We start from the raw sequence: 17875 nt of genomic DNA, 5'->3' as shown, positions 1-17875 counted from the left end.
CACTGATCATTTTAATTGGAATATTAGGAAGTAGAGAAGAGAATTGTGCATATTCAGTCATCTTATCTAGAAGTCAGTCAGATTTATTTAGAAAGCAAACTCTCAAAGAAATGGAAGATAATTACAGGGGCAGAAACTGGAGAACTGTGAGACAGCTACTGAAATACTACAATAAAAAGAGGGAGATTCAAGAGCTTTTTCAGACATAGAATGTGGCTTAGTGACCCAACAAATATGGAGAAGTTAGATGGAGGAGTTAAATGTGACTTGGAAGACTTCTGTATTGTTCCTGGTAATAGTAATGCTATGAGTGAATGTGGGAATAACAGATGGAGGAGTGATTTGGGTTTGGAAATAATAAAATAAGTACTGAAGAATATGTGCATTTGAAGGAGTTTGGTAAAAAGTAGTGAATATCTTAGTGAAATGGTCTTTTGCCAATCTGAGCTTAAATTCCTGCTTCAGTACTTTCTACCTATATGATACTGGGAACATTATATAAATTCCATGTCTGTGTTCATCCCAAAGAAGGAACAGTTGTGCCTGCTTTACAGCATTCTGTAATGATTAAATGAGAACATGTTTATTTAATAGATATGTGTTCTAGCACACATCTAATGCAATTGCTGGCATGTAGCAGTTTTTCAATAAATGAGCTGTAATTATTGACAATACTAGAATGTCTATGGGACTATGGCTTAGGATAGAAGTTGGAGGCTGTAGATTAAAATTAATAAACTATTGATGAATAGTTGGTAATTGGACACAATGAGGTTGATCAGAAGGGACAAGATTGCCCAGGGCAATTGAATTGCTAGAACTAAAAGAGAAGAAAAAACAAAGACCCGAGGATCTAAGAACTTGAGAAAGAAACTGAAAGGTATTATACAGGTAGGGGGGAAATAGGAAAAAGTGATGTTGAAGGGAACAAGGTGGAAAAATTTCAAGGATGCAAAAGACATGGTATGGGGAGGTGATCAGGAGTTGATGCTGTAGAGGTGGCCAAAAAACACCTTTTATTCCCAATAATACATTTTGTCCTTATCCTCTAGGCAATGGATAATTATGGAATACCCACTGAAGGGTTTTAAGCATGGGGAAAAGAAGTGGGAAGGAGAGGAAAGCCATTACTTGATTAAGTTTGCATTTCCTACCTCCTACATATGAGTGAGAAAATGTGATATTATGTTTGTCTTTGTATGTCTAGCTTATTTCACTTAACATAAGGATTTCTAGTTCCATCCATGTTACTGCAAATGACAGGATCTCATTGTTTATGGACAACAAGTATTTCACTGTGTATATATACCACATTTTCTTTATCCATTCATCCGTTGATGGGCACTTAAGTTGATTCCATGTCTTTGCTGTTGTGAATAGTGCTGTAATAAACACGAAGGTGCAGGTATCCCTTTGATATACTGATTTTCCTTCCTTTGATGATAAATAACCAGCAGTGTGATTGCTGAATCTCATGGTAGTTCTATTTTTAGTTTTTTGAAAAATCTCCATACTGTTTTCCATAGCAGCTGTACTAATTTACATTTTTATCAACAGCATATAAAAGTTCCCTTTCTCTGCATTCTCACCAGCATCTGTTGTCTTTTTAATAATAGTCATTCTAACTGGGGTAAGATGATATCTCATTGTGGTTTTAATATACATTTCCCTGATGATTAGTGATGTTGACATTTTCCATATCCCTGGTGGCCATTTGTATGTCTTCTTGTGAGAAGTGTCTATTCATTTCCTTTGCCTATTTTTAATGGGATTATTAGATTTTTTATTGTTGAATCATTTGAGTTCCTTATATGCTGGATATTAGTCCCTTGTTGGATGAATAGTTTGCAAATACTTTCTTTCATTCAATAGGTTGTCTCTCCACTCTGTTGATTGTTTCCTTTGCTGTGCAGAAGCTTTTTAGTTTAATGTAATTCCATTTGTCTATTTTTGTTTTTGTTGTCTGTGCTTTTGAATTCTTTGCCATAAAATTCCTCTGATCTGTGAACATGGGATGTCTTTCTCTTTGTTTATGCCCTCTTCAGTTTCTTTTATCAGTGTTTTGTAGTTTTCCTTCTAGATGTCTTTCACCTCCTTGGTTAAATTTATTTTTAGTTATTTGGTTTGTAGCTACTGTAAATAAGATTGCCTTCTTGGTTTCTTTTTCAGCTATGTCATTTTTGGTGTATAAAAATACTGGTGATTTTTGTGTGCTGATTTTGCGTCCTGCAACTTTACTGAATTTATCAGTTTGAAGAGTTTTTTTTTGTGGTGGTTTCTTTTGATTTTTCTAAATATAAGATCAAATTGTCTGCAAAGAGGGACAATTTTACTTCTTTTCCAGTTTGGACGCCTTTTCTTTCATTCTCTTGCCCGATTGCTCTGGCTAGGACTTCCAGTACTATGTTGCATAGAGTGTTGAAAGTGGAAATCTTTGTCTTGTTCTAGTTCTTAGAGGAAATGCTTTCCCCATCAGTATGATGTTAGCTGTGGGTTTATCATATATGGCCTTTATTATGCTGAGATATCTACCTTCTATGCTAGCTTGTTGAGAATTTTTATCATGAAGCATTGTTGAATTTTATCAAATGCTTTTTCTGTATCTATCAATGATCATATCATTTTTGTCCTTCATTCTGTTGATGTGATATATTATGTTTATTCATATGCATATGTTGAAACATCCTTGCAACCTGGGATAAATGCAACTAGATCATGGTGTATGTGTTATCTTTTTGATGTGCTATGATATTCAGTTTGCTAGTATTTTGTTGAAGATTCTTGTGTCTATGTCCTTCAGGGATATTCTTTTTTTTTTTTTTTTTGGTATATGTCCTTGTCTGGCTTTAGTATCAGGGTAATTCTAGCCTCATAGAATGAGTTAGGGAGAACTCCCTCCTCTTTATTTTTTTGGAATAGTTTGAGGAGAATTAGTACTAGTTCTTCTTTATATGTTTGGTAGAATTTGGCAGTGAAGCCATCTGGTCCAAGCCTTTCCTTGTTGGGAGGCTTTTTATTACAGATTCAGTTTCATTACTTATTATTGGTCTGTTCAGGTTTTCTGTATCTTCCTGATTTATTCTTGGTAGGCTGTATATGTCCAGGAATTTATCCACTTCCTCTGGGTTTTCCAGTTTGTTTATGTATAGCTGTTAATAATAGTCTCTGATGATATTTTGTATTTCTAAGGTATTGGTTGTGATGTTCCATTTCTTAATTTCTGATTTTATTTATTTGGACTTCTCTTTTTTTCTTGGTTAGTCTAGCTAGTGGTTTACCAATTTTATCTTTTTGAAAAGCCAACTTTTCATTTCGTTGATCTTTTTTATTTTTGTGGTCTCTATTTCATTTATTTCTGCTCTGATTTTTATTACTTCTTTCCTTCTGCTAACTTTGGGATTTGGCTTATTCTTGCTTTTCTAATTCCTTTAGGTGCATCATTAGACTGATTATTTGAAATCTTTCTACGTTTCTTGATGTAGGTGTTTATTGCTATCAACTTCCATCTTAGAAGACTTTTTGAATAGTCCAACTGAGAGATTATAAGAGCAAAATAGTAATAAAAATAATATTGGAGATGTTAAGAGGCTATGATGTGAGAGAGAAAAAGACTAGATTGACCTTAAGACTTCTAGGCTGGGTGACTGAATGGTACCAGTAACCATAATAGAGAACATAGAAGGAGGAACAATGAGGTGCAGGGTGGGTCTGGAGGGATGGAGTTGATGTATGTAGTCAACAGTGTCATTTAAAACTAGAGAAAGGCTTGGTTAAGATGATAACTGAGAGGAGATCACTGACTTGGGCAATTTGGAAACTGTCAGTGTCCTTTGAGAGAATAATTTTGGTAAAGTTCACAGAAGGGGAACTTATCCTGTAATGTATTAAGGAGTGACTTGGAGGTGAAAAAGTAAAGATAGCTGATACAGCACCTACTTTGTCAAGAAGTTTAACAGTGAAAGCAGGGAGAAAGATGAGTTGGTGGTTTGTGGAGGCATCAGGTTTGTGGGAAAGTTGGCTTAAGATGTGGGAGAAATAGGGCTGGGCATGGTGGCTCATGCTTGTAATCCCAGCACTTTGGGAGGCTGAGGCGGGCGGATCACCTGAGATCAGGTGTTTGAGACCAGCCTGACCAACATGATGAAACCCCATTTCTACTAAAAATACAAAAATTAGCCATGCGTGGTGGCGCATGCCTGTAATCCCAGCTACTCGGGGGTGCTGAGGCAGGAGAGTTGCTTGAACCCGGGAGGTGGAGATTGCAGTGAGCTGAGATCATGCCATTGCACTCCAGCCTGGGCAACAAGAGCAAAAAAAGATGTGGGAGAAATGAGTATGTAGGTTTTCTAGTAGAGAGAAAAAAAGGAAGATGTTAAATCTGTAGAACAAGGTATGGGAAGGAAGAAAGACAAGAATATGGGGGTAGAATTAGTCATTTGAGACACAAGAGCAAGGAGTAAAGAGAGGTAAAGATAGGTATAAGGCAGAGAGGAAAAAAGTTGAGAAATGTAATGCCTCATGGAATATTCATTCGCTGAGAAATTGGAGGCAGAGCCTCTGAGAGTGAGGAGTGATATTGAAATTAGGGCTTATCTTGGTGATTAAGGTTTGGAACAGCTATTGTGGGGAATGCAAAATGGAATCAACATGAATAAGCACAATTTTGCAAAGCTATATGGAAAGTCCATCAGCTAACCTTGTAATGGAGTCAAGGCAGCGTACTTTTCTAGCTACTGACAACCCAATAGTTGGGGTACAGTAAACAGATGGTTGTTTAGATACAGGTATGAAGATGGGCAGGTTAGGTGGAAGAGAAGAAAAGGGTTTATGGAGATTGAAGAGTGTTAACCATTATTTAACACCCCAACTAGAAGAATAGAATTTAAAAATTCAATTTGATCTTGATAATTAGTGCATTGGGTGAGTATTAGAATTATAACATCCTGGGTTTAAACCCTACTTGGTTACTTACTAGCTCTGAGACTTTGGATAATGCAATTATCCTATTTGTGCTTCAGTTTCATCATGTATTTTAGAAAGACAATGTAAAATGTTTTCTCTTACAGAGTCATTGTGATAATTAAATGGGTAATATATGTAAAGTTTGTAGCTCAGTGCCTAGAACATTGTAATTTCTCCTCAAATGTTAGCTTTGCATGAGTCAACTCTTGCCATAATAATGCTGTAACAAACCTCCACCAAATTTATTGTCGTATCATGGCAAGCTTTTAATTTTCTCACTCATAAGTGGCTCTGCTTTATGCTGTAGTTCAGTTTCAGGCTTTGAGGTAAGTTCAGGTTTGCCCCTTAAGCTTCACGCTTTGATCCAGCCTAACGAGGCACTGGTTGCCTATGTTGTAATTGTATGTTGATTATAGGAGTTCAAGTGCAAGCTAAGCCAGGCAAACACATTTAAAATTCTGCAGATATCCTGCATGCTCATATTCCATTGGCCAAGGCAAGTCGCATGGCCAAGCATAAAGGCAGTGGGAGTGGAAAGTATACCCTGACCCAAAGAGGAAAGGGAAGCAAACATTTGCTGAAAAAAATCCCAGTTTATTATAGCTTTGTTAGCTATGACATCTCAACAAGCTCTTGCTCTTTTTTTTTTTAATGAGCAAGGAACAATAACACTCTTGTGAAATAGTATGATAATTATTTTTACATTGAATTTTCACAAATCTGGCTTAAGATAAATGTTGGTCTTATAACTGAATGAAAATGATTGACAAAAGAATATTTTCACTTGATATCTAACATAATTTCAGAATCTCTGATATCCAGTACGTTAATATACATGAAGACAGTGTCTCTGTCTTGATCTTTCTGATCTTTCTCTACTATTAAACTATTTAATACATTGCTTCTATTGACCTTTTTAAAAAAATTAGAGATATAATTTACATACAATAAAATTCATTCAGGATTCATTTGGGTGAGTTTGAAAAATGTATAGTAATGTAACTAAAACCATAATAAAGATATAAAATATTTTCATCATTCTTCCAAAGATCTCTCATGCCCCTTTGGCCAATTTCCACACAACAGTCCCACCCTGAGGCAACCACACATTTGTTTTCTATCACTATAATTTTTTTTTCTAGAATTTCATACAAATAGAATCATACAGTCTTTTGTGCCTGGCTTCTTTCACTGATATTTTCATTCCTTTTGTTGCTGAGTAGTATTTTATTGTAAGGCTATACTACAACATGTTTTTCCATTTGCCTGTTGATAGACTTTTGGGTTGTTTCCAGATTTTGGCTGTAATTAATAAAGTTATGAATCTTTGCATGTAAGTCTTTGTGTTTTTATTTCTCTTGGGTAAACATGTAAGAGTGGGATTACTGCACTGTATGTTATGTCTGTGTTTAACTTTTGGAGAAATTGCCAAACTGCTTTCCAAAGTGGCTGTACCGTATTAAGTTCCAATCAGTAATGTATAAGTATTACAGTTGCTCTGTACCCTTGCTATATATATCATCAGTCTTTTAAGTTTTAGCCATTTTAATAGGTAAATAGTGCAATCCTATGTTTTTAATTTGCATTTCCTTAAAGACTACCAATATTATAGAACATCATTTATTTACCTGCCATTTTTCATATCTTCTTTGATGAAGTATCTGTTCAAACTTTTGCCCATTTTTAAATTGGATTGTCTATATTATTATTCAGTTGAACGAATTCTTTATATATCTCAAAAACAAGTTCTTCATCAGATTTCTGGTTTTAAAGTTATTCTCGTAGTCTTTGGCTTGCCTTTTAATTTTTCAAACAGTATCTTTTAAAGGACAAACTTTAAAAATTTTTGATGAAGCCCAGTTTTACAGTTTTTATGTGTGTATGATTCATGTTTTTTGTGTCTTAGCTAAGATATCTTTGCCTATCCCAAAATTACAAATAATTCTTCCTGTGTTTTCTTCTAGAAGTTTAATAGTTTGACTCATATTTTAGGCTGTAATTCATTCCAAATTATTTTGCATATGGTATAAGGAAAGGTTGAGTTTCATTTTTCCCATATTCATTGTCTAGAACCATTTTTTGAAAAAGACTCTAGTATTCTCATTGAATTACCTTGCCACTTTTGTTAATTGACTGGGAGGGACTTCTGGCATAATAGCATGAGAAGCTCAGCAGACTCTTTCTCCAGAAAAACTGGTGAAGATAATTAAAACACACACACACACACACACACACACACACACACACACACACACACGGCACGGTGGTTCACGCCTATAATCCCAGCGCTTTGGGAGGCAGAGGCGAGTGGATCATTTGAGGTCAGGAGTTTGAGACAAGCCTGGCCAACGTGGTGAAACCCCGTCTCTACTAAAAATACAAAAATTATCTGGGTGTGGTGGCGTGCGCTTCTAATCCCAGCTACTTGGAAGGCTGAGGCAGGAGAATCGCTTGAGCCTGGGAGGCGGAGGTTGCGGTGAGCCGAGATCGTGCCACTGCACTCCAGTCTGGGTGACAGAGTGAGACATTTTCTCAAAAACAAACAAATAAACATAAAACAAAATTAGCCAGGTGTGGTGGTGCATTCCTGTAATCCCAGCTATTTGGGAGGGAGGCTGAGGCAGGAGAATCACTTGAGCCTGGGAGGTGGAGGTTGCAGTGAGCGGAGATAACAACATTGCACTCCAGCCTAGGCAAAAAGAGGGAAACTCTATCTCAAAAACAAGCAAACAAACAAAAGAAACAAAACAAAAACAAAAACAAAAATACCCAACAACATACCATTTAATGTCTCTGGAAATAGTCTTACGGACATTTAAATAATAAGTAGATGAAGAAACGTTTATTCCAGAAAATCTGTATTGTGGTAAGAACAGCAAGACTCTATGGGGAACTGAGACCCTTTCCCTCCTATCCCCTTTCCCAGCTTAGTGAGATGGAAACTTTATTCCAAACTAGTGCAGCCCAAAACACAAGGCTCTCTCTATTCTCAGCTCCCAGACAGAGAGTAATCCTATGGAAGGATATCAGCTTTTCTCATCTTGCCACAGCTACCTATTGATGAGGCTAAGTTCTGAAGTAGAGTTCTCTTCTGCACAGCTCCCCACTCATGAGATGCAGTCTTTACCTTGGGTTTGGCACTGCTGAGATATAGGGGTTCTGATTGTCCTTGCCTTAGTCTGTAAAGTGAGTGTTGTACTCTGGATGAAACTAGCCAAAAAAGTTGGAGGCTACTGTTCATCTTCTACCCTCTCTGGCCCCCAATGAGCACTCAGCTCTTAAAGTGAGGGTGTCATTTAGAGAGAGTGTGCAATTGTCTGCCACCCTAGTTCCAGAGCCTTGACTCAACTTGACTTGACTTGAGATTTTGCCTGGAGGGAAAAGCAGAGACCCTTGGAAAGAGACAGCTTGTGGGAGCCCATCTGTGGTCAGAGCTCCTCAACAGAGCAAATCTCAAACAATGTAGGAACTACTCCTTCAAAGGAACCCGAATTTGATGGATTAGTCTATAGAACAATTTAAGCACCACAGTATTGTTGAAAGCAGTACATAAATCAGCTGGCACTTAGTATAGCTTAACAGTTGGACGTGGTCAGAGAAAGTGACAAAAAGAGTCCTGCCAAAACCACTGTCATACTAGTGACCATATGTGAGCATACATGCACAAAGCTACAACTCCTTGAGGAGCAGCACCAAAGATTTAACACTGCAGGTGGAAAATAGTCATATTTGTGTCATATTCAGTTTACTGAAATCTAGTGATACAGTGACAAACTTATATGCAAAAAGGGAAAAATACTCATTACTTACAGAGAATCAAAGATGAGGATGACAGTGAACATCACTAAAATAGTCCAGCTAGTCATTAAACAAAAAACAAATAATAACAAGCTTAGAGCAGGGGTGGGTTTACCCAGAGTTGCCATGATGTATTACCTAAAATGTCCAGTTACCAACAGAAATTTACAAGGCGTGAAAAGAAACAAGAAAATATGACCCATACTTTGTAAGTACAGTAGGCAGACAGTGGTCAGAAATCAGACTAACAGAAAATGACTAGAAAGTAGCCATTGTAGATATGTTCAAAGAACTAAAGGAAACTATGATTAAATAAAGGAAGGTAGGACAACAATTTTGCATCAAATAGAGAATATCAATAGAGAGAAATGATTAAAAAAATCAAATAGAAATTCTGGAGTTCAAAAGTACAATTACTGAAATGAAAAGTTCACTCTAAGAACCTCAACTATAAAATTTAAATTGCCAGAAGAAAAAAAATGGCAAACTTCAAGACTTCATTACTTACAAACTACTTCATTACTCCAAAACTTCATTACTTACAGAGGAACAAAGATGAGGGTGATGGTGGACTTCTTACCACTAGCTTTGTGACCCAGAAAGACAATGGACTGTCTTTAAGGTGCCAAAAATTAGCTGTTGATCTAGAATTTTATACTCGGAAAAAGCGTCTTTCAAATAGAAAGATGAATAAAAACTTCTTATAAAATGTGAGAAATTTATGCATATTTTCATGTCAGAGATGTTCATATTGTAATACACAGAACTGTGAATATGTTGCTTTACACAGGCATATCTTGGAGGTACTACAGATTCAGTTATAGACCACTGCAATAAAGCGAATACTGCAGTAGAGCAACTCACATGAATTTTTTGATTGCCAAGTGCATATAAAAGTTGTATTTACACTATGCTGTTGTCCGCTAAATGTGTTCTCATTGTTTAGCTCCCACTTATGAGTGAAAACATGCGGTGTTTGGTTTTCTCTTCCTGTGTTAGTTTTCTGTTCCTGTTAGTTAGTTAGTTAGGATGGCTTCCAGCTTCATCCAAGTCCCTGCAAAGGACAAGGTCTCATTTCTTTTTATGGTTGCATAGTATTCCATCGTGTATATTTACCGCATTTTCTTTATCCAGTCTATCATTGATGGGCATTTGGGTTGGTTCCATGTCTTTGCTGTTGTAAATAGTGCTGCAGTGATAATATGTGTGCATGTGTCTTTATAATGGAACAATTCTTTGGATATATACCCAGTAATGGGGTTGCTGGGTCAAATGGTATTTCTGGTTCTAGATCCTTGACGAATTGCCATACTGTCGTCCACAATGGTTGGACTAATTTACATTCCCACCAACAGTGTAAAAGTGTTCCTATTTCTCCACAGCCTCCCAAGCATCTATTGTTTCTTGACTTTTTAATAATTACCATTCTGACTGGCATGAGACAGTATCTCACTGTAGTTTCGATTTGCATTTCTCTAATGATCAGTGATGTTGAGCTTTTTTTCATGTGTTCATTGGCCACATAAATGTTTTCTTTTGAGAAGTGTCTGTTCATATCCTTTGCCCGCTTTTTGATGGGGATTTTTTTTTCTTGTAAATTTGTTTAAGTTCCTTGTAGATTCTGGATATTAGACCTTTGTCAAATGGGTAGATGGCAAAAACTTTCTCCCATTCTGTAGGTTGCCTGTTCACTCTGATGATAGTTTCTTTTGCTGTGCAGAAGCTCTTTAATTAGATCTCATTTGTCAATTTTGGCTTTTGTTGGAATTGCTTTTGGTGTTTTCATCATGAAGTCTTTGCCCATGCCTATGTCCTGAATGGTATTGCCTAAGTTTTCGTCTAGGGTTTTTATGGTTTTGGGTTTTACATTTAAGTCTTTAATGAGTTAATTTCTGTAAAAGGTATAAGGAAGGGGTCCAGTTTCAGTTTTCTGCATATGGCTAGCCAGTTTTCCCAGCACCTTTTATTGAATAGGAAATTCTTTTCCTATTGTTTGTTTTTGTCAGGTTTGTCAAAGATCAGATGGTTGTAGATGTGTGGTGTTATTTCTGAGTTCTCCGTTCTGTTCCACTGGTCTATATGTCTGTTTTGGTACCAGTACCATGCTGTTTTGGTTACTGTAGCCTTGTAGTATAGTTTGAAGTCAGGTAGTGTGATGCCTCCTGCTTTGTTCTTTTTGATTAGGATTGTCCTGGCTATATGGGCTCTTGTTTGGTTCCATATGAAATTTAAAATAGTTTTTTCTAATTCTGTGAAGATTGTCAATGGTAGCTTGATGGGAATAGCATTGAATCTATAAATTACTTTGGGCAGAATGGCCATTTTCACAACATTGATTTTTCCTATCCATGAGGATGGAATGTTTTTCCATTTGTTTGTGTCCTCTCTGATTTCCTTGAGCAGTGGTTTGTAGTTCTCCTTGAAGAGGTCCTTCACATCCCTTGTTAGCTGTATTCCTAGGTATTTTATTCTCTTTATAGCAATTGTGAATGGGAGTTCATTTGTGATTTGGTCCTCTGCTTGTCTATTGTTGGTGTATAGGAATGCTTGTGATTTTTGCACATTGATTTTGTATCTTGAGACTTTGCCAAAGTTGCTTATCAGTTTAAGGAGTTTTGGGGCTGAGATGCTGGGTTTTCTAAATGTAGAATCATGTCATCTGCAAAAAGGGACAATATGACTTCCTCTCTTTCTATTCGAATATGCTTTACTTCTTTCTCTTGCCTGATTGCCCTGGCCAGAATTTCCAATATTATGTTGAAAGGGAGTGGTGAGTGAGGGCATCCTTGTCTTGCACCAGTTTTCAAAGGGAATGCTTCCAGCTTTTGCCCATTCAATATGATATTGGCTGTGGGTTTGTCATAAATAGCTCTGATTATTTTGAGATATGTTCCATCAATATCTAGTTTATTGAGAGTTTTTAATATGAAGACATGTTGAATTTTATCAAAGGCCTTTTCTGCATCTATTGAGATAATCGTGTGGTTATTGTCATTGGTTCTGTCTGTGTGATGGAGTACATGTATTGATTTGTGTATGTTGAACTAGCCTTGCATCCCAGGGATGAAGTCAACTTGATTGTGGTGGATAAGTTTTCCAATGTGCTGCTGGATTCGGTTTGCCAGTATTTTATTGAGGATTTTTGCATCAATATTCATCAGGGATATTGGCCTGAAATTTTCTTTTTTTTGTTGTGTCTCTGCCCAGTTTTGGTATCAGGATGATGATGGCCTCATAAAATTAGTTAGGGAAGAGTACCTGCTTTTCACTGTTTGGATCATATTCAGAAGGAATGGCACCAGCTCCTCTTTGTAGAATTTGGCTGGTAGAATTTGGCTGTGATTCCTTCTGGTCCTGGGCTTTTCTTGGTTGGTAGACTATTAATTACTGCCTCAATTTCAGAACTTGTTATTGGTCTATTTATGGATTCGACTTCTTCCTGGTTTAGTTTTGGGATGATGTATGTGTCCAGGAATTTATCCATTTCTTCTAGATTTTCTAGTTTATTTGCATAGAGGTGTTTATAGTATTCTCTGATGGTAGTTTGTATTTCTGTGGGATAAGTGGTAATATCCCCTTTATCGTTTTTTATTGTGTCTATTTGATTCTTTTTTCTTCTTTATTAGTCTAGCTAGCAGTCTACCTATTTTGTTAATTTTTTCAAAAAACCAGCTGCTGGATTTATTGATTTTTTTGAGGGTTTTTTGTGTCTCTATCCCCTTCAGTTCTGCTCTGATCTTAGTTATTTCTTGTCTTCTGCTAGCTTTTGGATTAGTTTGCTCTTGCTTCTCTAGCTCTTTTAATTGTGAGGTTAGGGTGTCGATTTGAGATCTTTCTAGCTTTCTGATATGGGGATTTAGTGCTACCCTCTTAACACTGCTTTAGCTGTGTCCCAGAGATTCTGGCACATTGTCTCTTTGTTCTTATTGGTTTCAAATAACTTGATTTCTGCCTTAATTTCATTATTTACCCAGGAGTCCTTCAGGAGCAGGTTGTTCAATTTCCATGTAATTGTGTGGTTTTGAGTGAGTTTCTTAATCCTGAGTTCTAATTTGATTGCACTGTGGTCTGAGAGGCTGTTATGATTTCAGTTATTTTGCATTTACTGAGAAGTGTTTTACTTCCAATTTTGTGGTCAATTTGAGAATAAATGCCATGCACTGAGAAGAATGTATATTCTGTTGATTTGGTGTGGAGGGTTCTGTAGATCTCTTTTAGGTCCACTTGATCCAGAGCTGAGTTTAAGTCCTGAATATCCTTGTTAATTTTCTGTCTCATTGATGTGTCCAATATTGACAGTAGGGTGTTAGAAGTCCCTTTTTATTATTGTGTGGGAGTCTAAGTCTCTTTGTAGGTCTCTAAGAACTTGTTTTATGAATTTGGGTGCTCCTGTATTGGGTGCATACATATTTAGGATAGTTAGCTCTTCTTGTTGAATTGATCCCTTTACCATTATGTAATGCCCTTGTCTTTTTTTATCTTTGTTGGTTTAAAGTCTGTTTTGTCAGAGACTAGGATTGCAACCCCTGCTTTCTTTTTGCTTTTCATTTGCTTGGTAAACTTGCCTCCATCTCTTCATTTTGAGCCTATGTATGTCTTTGACCATGAGTTGGGTCTCCTAAATACAGCACACTGATGGGTCTTGACTCTTTATCCAATTTGCCAGTCTGTGTCTTTTAACTGGGGCATTTAGCCCATTTACATTTAAGGTTAATATTGTTATATGTGATTTTGATCCTGTCATCATGATACTACCTTGGTATTTTGCACACTAGTTGATGCAGTTTCTTCATAGTGTCATTGGTCTTTATATTTTGATGTGTCTTTGCAATGGCTGGTACCAGTTGTTCCTTTTCATATTTAGTGCTTCCCTCAGGGGCTCTTGTAAGGCAGGCATGGTGGTGATGAAATCCCTCAGTATTTGCTTGTCTGGAAAGGATTTTATTTCTTCTTTGCTTATGAAGCTTAGTTTGGCTGGATATGAAATTCTGAGTTGAAAATAATTTTTCTAAGACTGTTGAATATTGGCCCTCACTCTCTTCTGGCTTGTACCGTTTCTGCTGAGAGGTCTGCTGTTAGTCTGATGGGCTTCCCTTTGTGGGTGACCTGGTCTTTCTCTCTGGCTGCCCTTAACATTTTTTTCCTTCCTTTCGACCTTGGAGAATCTAATGATTATGTGTCTTGGGGTTGATTGTCTCATGGAGTATCTTAGTGGTGTTCACTGTATTTCCTGAATTTTAATGTTGGCCTATCTTGCTAGGTTGGCAACATTCTCCTAGATAACATCCTGAAGTGTGTTTTGCAGCTTGGTTCAATTTTCTCTGTCTGTTTCAGGTACTCCAGTCAATTGTAGGTTCGGTCTTTTTACATAATCCTATATTTCTTGGAGGTTTTGTTCATTCCTTTTCATTCTTTTTCCTCTAATCTTGTCTGCATGCCTTATTTCAGCAAGGTGGTCTTCAAACTCAGATATACTTTCTTCCTCTTGGTTGATTCGGCTATTGATACTTCTGTATGCTTCACGAAGTTCTTCCGCTGTGTTTTTCAGCTCCATCAGGTTATTTATGTTCCTCTCTAAACTGGTTATTCTAGTTAGCAGCTCCTGTAACCTTTTTTCAAGGTTCTTAGCTTCTTTGCATTGGGTTAGAACATGATCCTTTAGCTAGCAGAATTTGATATTACCCACCTTCTGAAGCCTACTTCTGTCAATTTGTCCATCTCATCCTCTGCCCAGTTCTGCACCCTTGCTGGAGCGGCATTGCAATCATTTGGAGGAGAAGAGGCACTCTGGCCTTTTGGGCTTTCAGTGTTTTTTTTTTTGTTGATCCTTTCTCATCTTCATGAATTTGTCTAGTTTTGATATTTGAGGCTGCCTATCCTTGATGGGTTTTTTTGGGGAGACACTTTTTGCTGATGCTGTTGTTGTTGCTTTCTGTTTGTTTTTCTTTCAATGGTCAGGCCCCTCTTCTGTAGGGCTGTTGTGGTTTGCTGGGCATTCACTTCAGGCACTATTCATCTGGCTCGCTCCTGTGCCTGGAGCCAGTCACTCAAGGAGGCTGGAAAACAGCAAAGATGGGTGCTTCCTCCTTCCTCTGGGAACTCTGACCTCGAGGAGCACCGATCTGATGCCAGTATGATCACTCCTGTATAGGATGTCTGACAACCCCTGTTTGATGGTCTCACCTAGTTGGGTGGTACAGGGAGCAGGACCCGTTTAATGAAGCTCTTTGACTATCCCTTGGTGGAGGGGGAGTGCTTTGCTGAGGGGAAACCCACTCATCTGGGCTGCCCAGATTTCTCAGAACTAGCAGGAGGAAAGGCTAAGTCTGCTGGTCCTCAGAGACTGTGGTCACCCCTACCCCTAGTGGCTCCGGCCAGGGAGATCAGAGCTTTGTGCCTGAGCCCCTGCCTGGAGTTGGAGTTCCTGCAGGGAGGCCCCTCCCAGTGAGGAGGGATGGGTCAGTGTCAGGCCTGAAGAGGCACTCTGGCCACAGTCTGCCACAGCCGGTGTGTTGTGCTGCGGGGGACCCCTCTCGGAACCAAGCCTTCCTGGCTCCAGCAGGGGAAAAGTGTAGCCTGGAGCTATAGAGATGGCTGCCACCCTTCCCCTGCCCAGGGAGCTTAGTGTGTTAGGCAGCTATCAGTCCCAGTGCTGGCTGCTGCCCCTCCCCCAAAGAGCTCAAATGGCTTAAACAACAGGCAGCCGCAACTGTGGTGCTAGTCGCCCCTCCCCACCGGGAACTCAGCAGGCTTAAGCAGAGTCTAGCTGAGAGGCTTTTGAGAATCTGCAGGGCTCTGTGGTTGGGATCCTAGGCCCTGGTGTTGTGATTTCATGAGTGAGATCTTCTGATCAGGAGGTTGCACAGTCTGTGGAAAAAGCATGGTTTCCCAGGCTGGATGGCACACTCACTCATCACCTCCCTTGGCGGGGGGGTGGGGACCCACCTGCCCTGTGTGGCTCTCAGGTGGGCCCCCTGCACCACTGCGCTTCCTTTCTCTCTGTAGGTCACACCAGCTGCCTAGTCAGTTCTGATGAGAGAACCTGGATACCTCAGTTGCCAGTGCAGGATTCACATGCTATTATGGTTCTTTTTGATGGGAGCCTCTGACGGTGGCTGCTTCTTGTTGGCTAGTTGGCCATCTTGGTCCCACCCTGTATTTCTTACATAAGACTTGAAAGTCAAAATTACTGCTTGATCCATTGGCTGCAGAATGGATGTTGTGTTACCAACCATGAAAACATTAGTCTCCTTGTACACCTCCAGTCAGAGCTCTTGGGTAATTAGGTGCATTGTCGATGAGCAATAATAATTTGAAAGGAATCTTTTTTTAAGCAGTAGGTCTCAACAGTGGGCTTAAAATGGTCAGTAAACTGTGCTGTAAACAAATGTACTGTCATCCAGGCTTTATTATTTTATTATAGAGCACAGGCAGAGTACATTTAACATCGTTCTTAAAAGCTTTAGTGTTTTCAGAATGGCAAATGAGCATTGGCTTCAACTTAAAGTTACCAGCTGCATTACAACCTAACAAAACAGTGAGCCTGTTCTTTGAAGCTTTGAAGCCAGACGTTGACTTCTCCTCTCTGGTTATGAGAGTCCTAAATGGAATCTTCTTCCAATAGAAGGCTGTTTCATCTACATTGAGAATCTGTTGTTTAGTGTAGTCACCTTTATCAATTTAGCTGGATCTTCTGGATAACTTGCTACAGCTTCTCCATCAGCACTTGCTGCTTCTTGCACTTTTGTGTCATGGAAATGGCTTCTTTCCTTAAACCTCATGAACCCCTGCTAGCTTCAAAATTTTCTTCTGCAGTTTCTTTGCCTCTCTCAGCCTTCATAGAATTGAAGAGAGTTAGGGCCTTGTTCTGGATTAGCATTTGGCTTAAGTAAATGTTGTGGCTGGTTTGATCTTTCCAGAGCACTAAAACTTTTGCCATATCAGCATTCAGGCTGTTTCCCTTTCTTATCATTTATGTGTCCACTGGAGTCGCACTTTTAATTTCCTTCAAGAACTTTTCCTTTGCATTCACAACTTGAAATGTATTTCTTACATAATGCATTTACTAACTGTTTGGCACATGAGGCCTAGGTTTTAGCCTATCTCAGCTTTTGACATACATACTTCACCAAGTTTCATGCGCATCAGTGTGAAGAGACCACCAAACAGGCTTTGTGTGAGCAATAAAGCTTTTAATCACCTGGGTGCAGGCAGGCTGAGTCCGAAAAGAGAGTCAGCGAAGGGAGATAGGGGTGGGGCCGTTTTATAAGATTTGGATAGGTAAAGGAAAATTACAGTCAAAGGGGGGTTGTTCTCTGGCAGGCAGGAGTGGGAGGTCACAAGGTGCTCAGTAGGGGAGCTTTTGAGGCAGGATGAGCCAGGAGAAGGAATTTCACAAGACAATGTCATCAGTTAAGGCAGGAACAGGCCATTTTCACTTCTTTTGTGGTAGAATGTCATCAGTTAAGGCAGGAACCGGCCATCTGGATGTGTATGTGCAGGTCACAGGGGATATGATGGCTTAGCTTGGGCTCAGAGGCCTGACGTTCCTGTCTTCTTATATTAAGAAAAATAAAATGAAATAGTGATAAAGTGTTGGGACGACGAAAATTTTGGGGGGTGGTATGGAGAGATAACGGGCGATGTTTCTCAGGGCTGCTTCGAGTGGGATTAGGGGCGGCGTGGGAACCTAGAGTGGGAGATATTAAGCTGAAGGAAGATTTTGTGGTAAGGGGTGATATTGTGGGGTTGTTAGAAGAAACATTTGTCATTTAGAATTATTGGTGATGGCCTGGATATAGTTTTGTATGAATTGAAAAACTGAACGGAATAAGAGAAAGAGAAAAGCAGGTATTAAAGGTCTAAGAATTGGGAGGACCCAGGACATCTAATTAGAGAGTGCCTAAGGAGGTTCAGCATAGCCCTGCCAGCAAAGATTATTTATTTACTTTAAGAGTTAAGAGTGGCAGTTTGGGATAGCACCAGGAGATATTGGCTGTGATGACTTGGAGAAACAGTGTAAACCGGCAGTGTAAACAAGAGCAGGGCATGTATGAGTAGTTGAGAACGGTGAATAGGAGTATGACTAGACAGAAGATAGTAGGGGTGACAAGTT

General features: G+C 38.8%; 1 protein-coding gene across 20 annotated transcripts in view, besides 1 other annotated feature; it reads left to right on the top strand.

Moving 5' to 3' along the window:
• ANKS1B (ankyrin repeat and sterile alpha motif domain containing 1B) overlaps positions 1 to 17875 on the top strand; it is a 1250151-nt gene that overhangs the window by 246304 nt on the left and 985972 nt on the right. The gene's annotated exons all lie outside the window — the stretch shown is intronic.
• Positions 14842 to 15394: an enhancer, noted in NCBI's record as "NANOG-H3K4me1 hESC enhancer chr12:100117017-100117569 (GRCh37/hg19 assembly coordinates)". NCBI's record gives its function as "activates a minimal SCP1, AML or CMV promoter by ChIP-STARR-seq in naive H9 embryonic stem cells {active_cell/tissue: H9 hESC(naive)}" and the evidence as "EXISTENCE:reporter gene assay evidence [ECO:0000049][PMID:30033119]".

The sequence above is a fragment of the Homo sapiens genome, chromosome 12, assembly GCF_000001405.40.
Source record: "Homo sapiens chromosome 12, GRCh38.p14 Primary Assembly".
In the NCBI taxonomy this organism is placed as follows: domain Eukaryota; kingdom Metazoa; phylum Chordata; class Mammalia; order Primates; family Hominidae; genus Homo; species Homo sapiens.
This window is presented reverse-complemented; position numbering and strand designations above follow the sequence as displayed.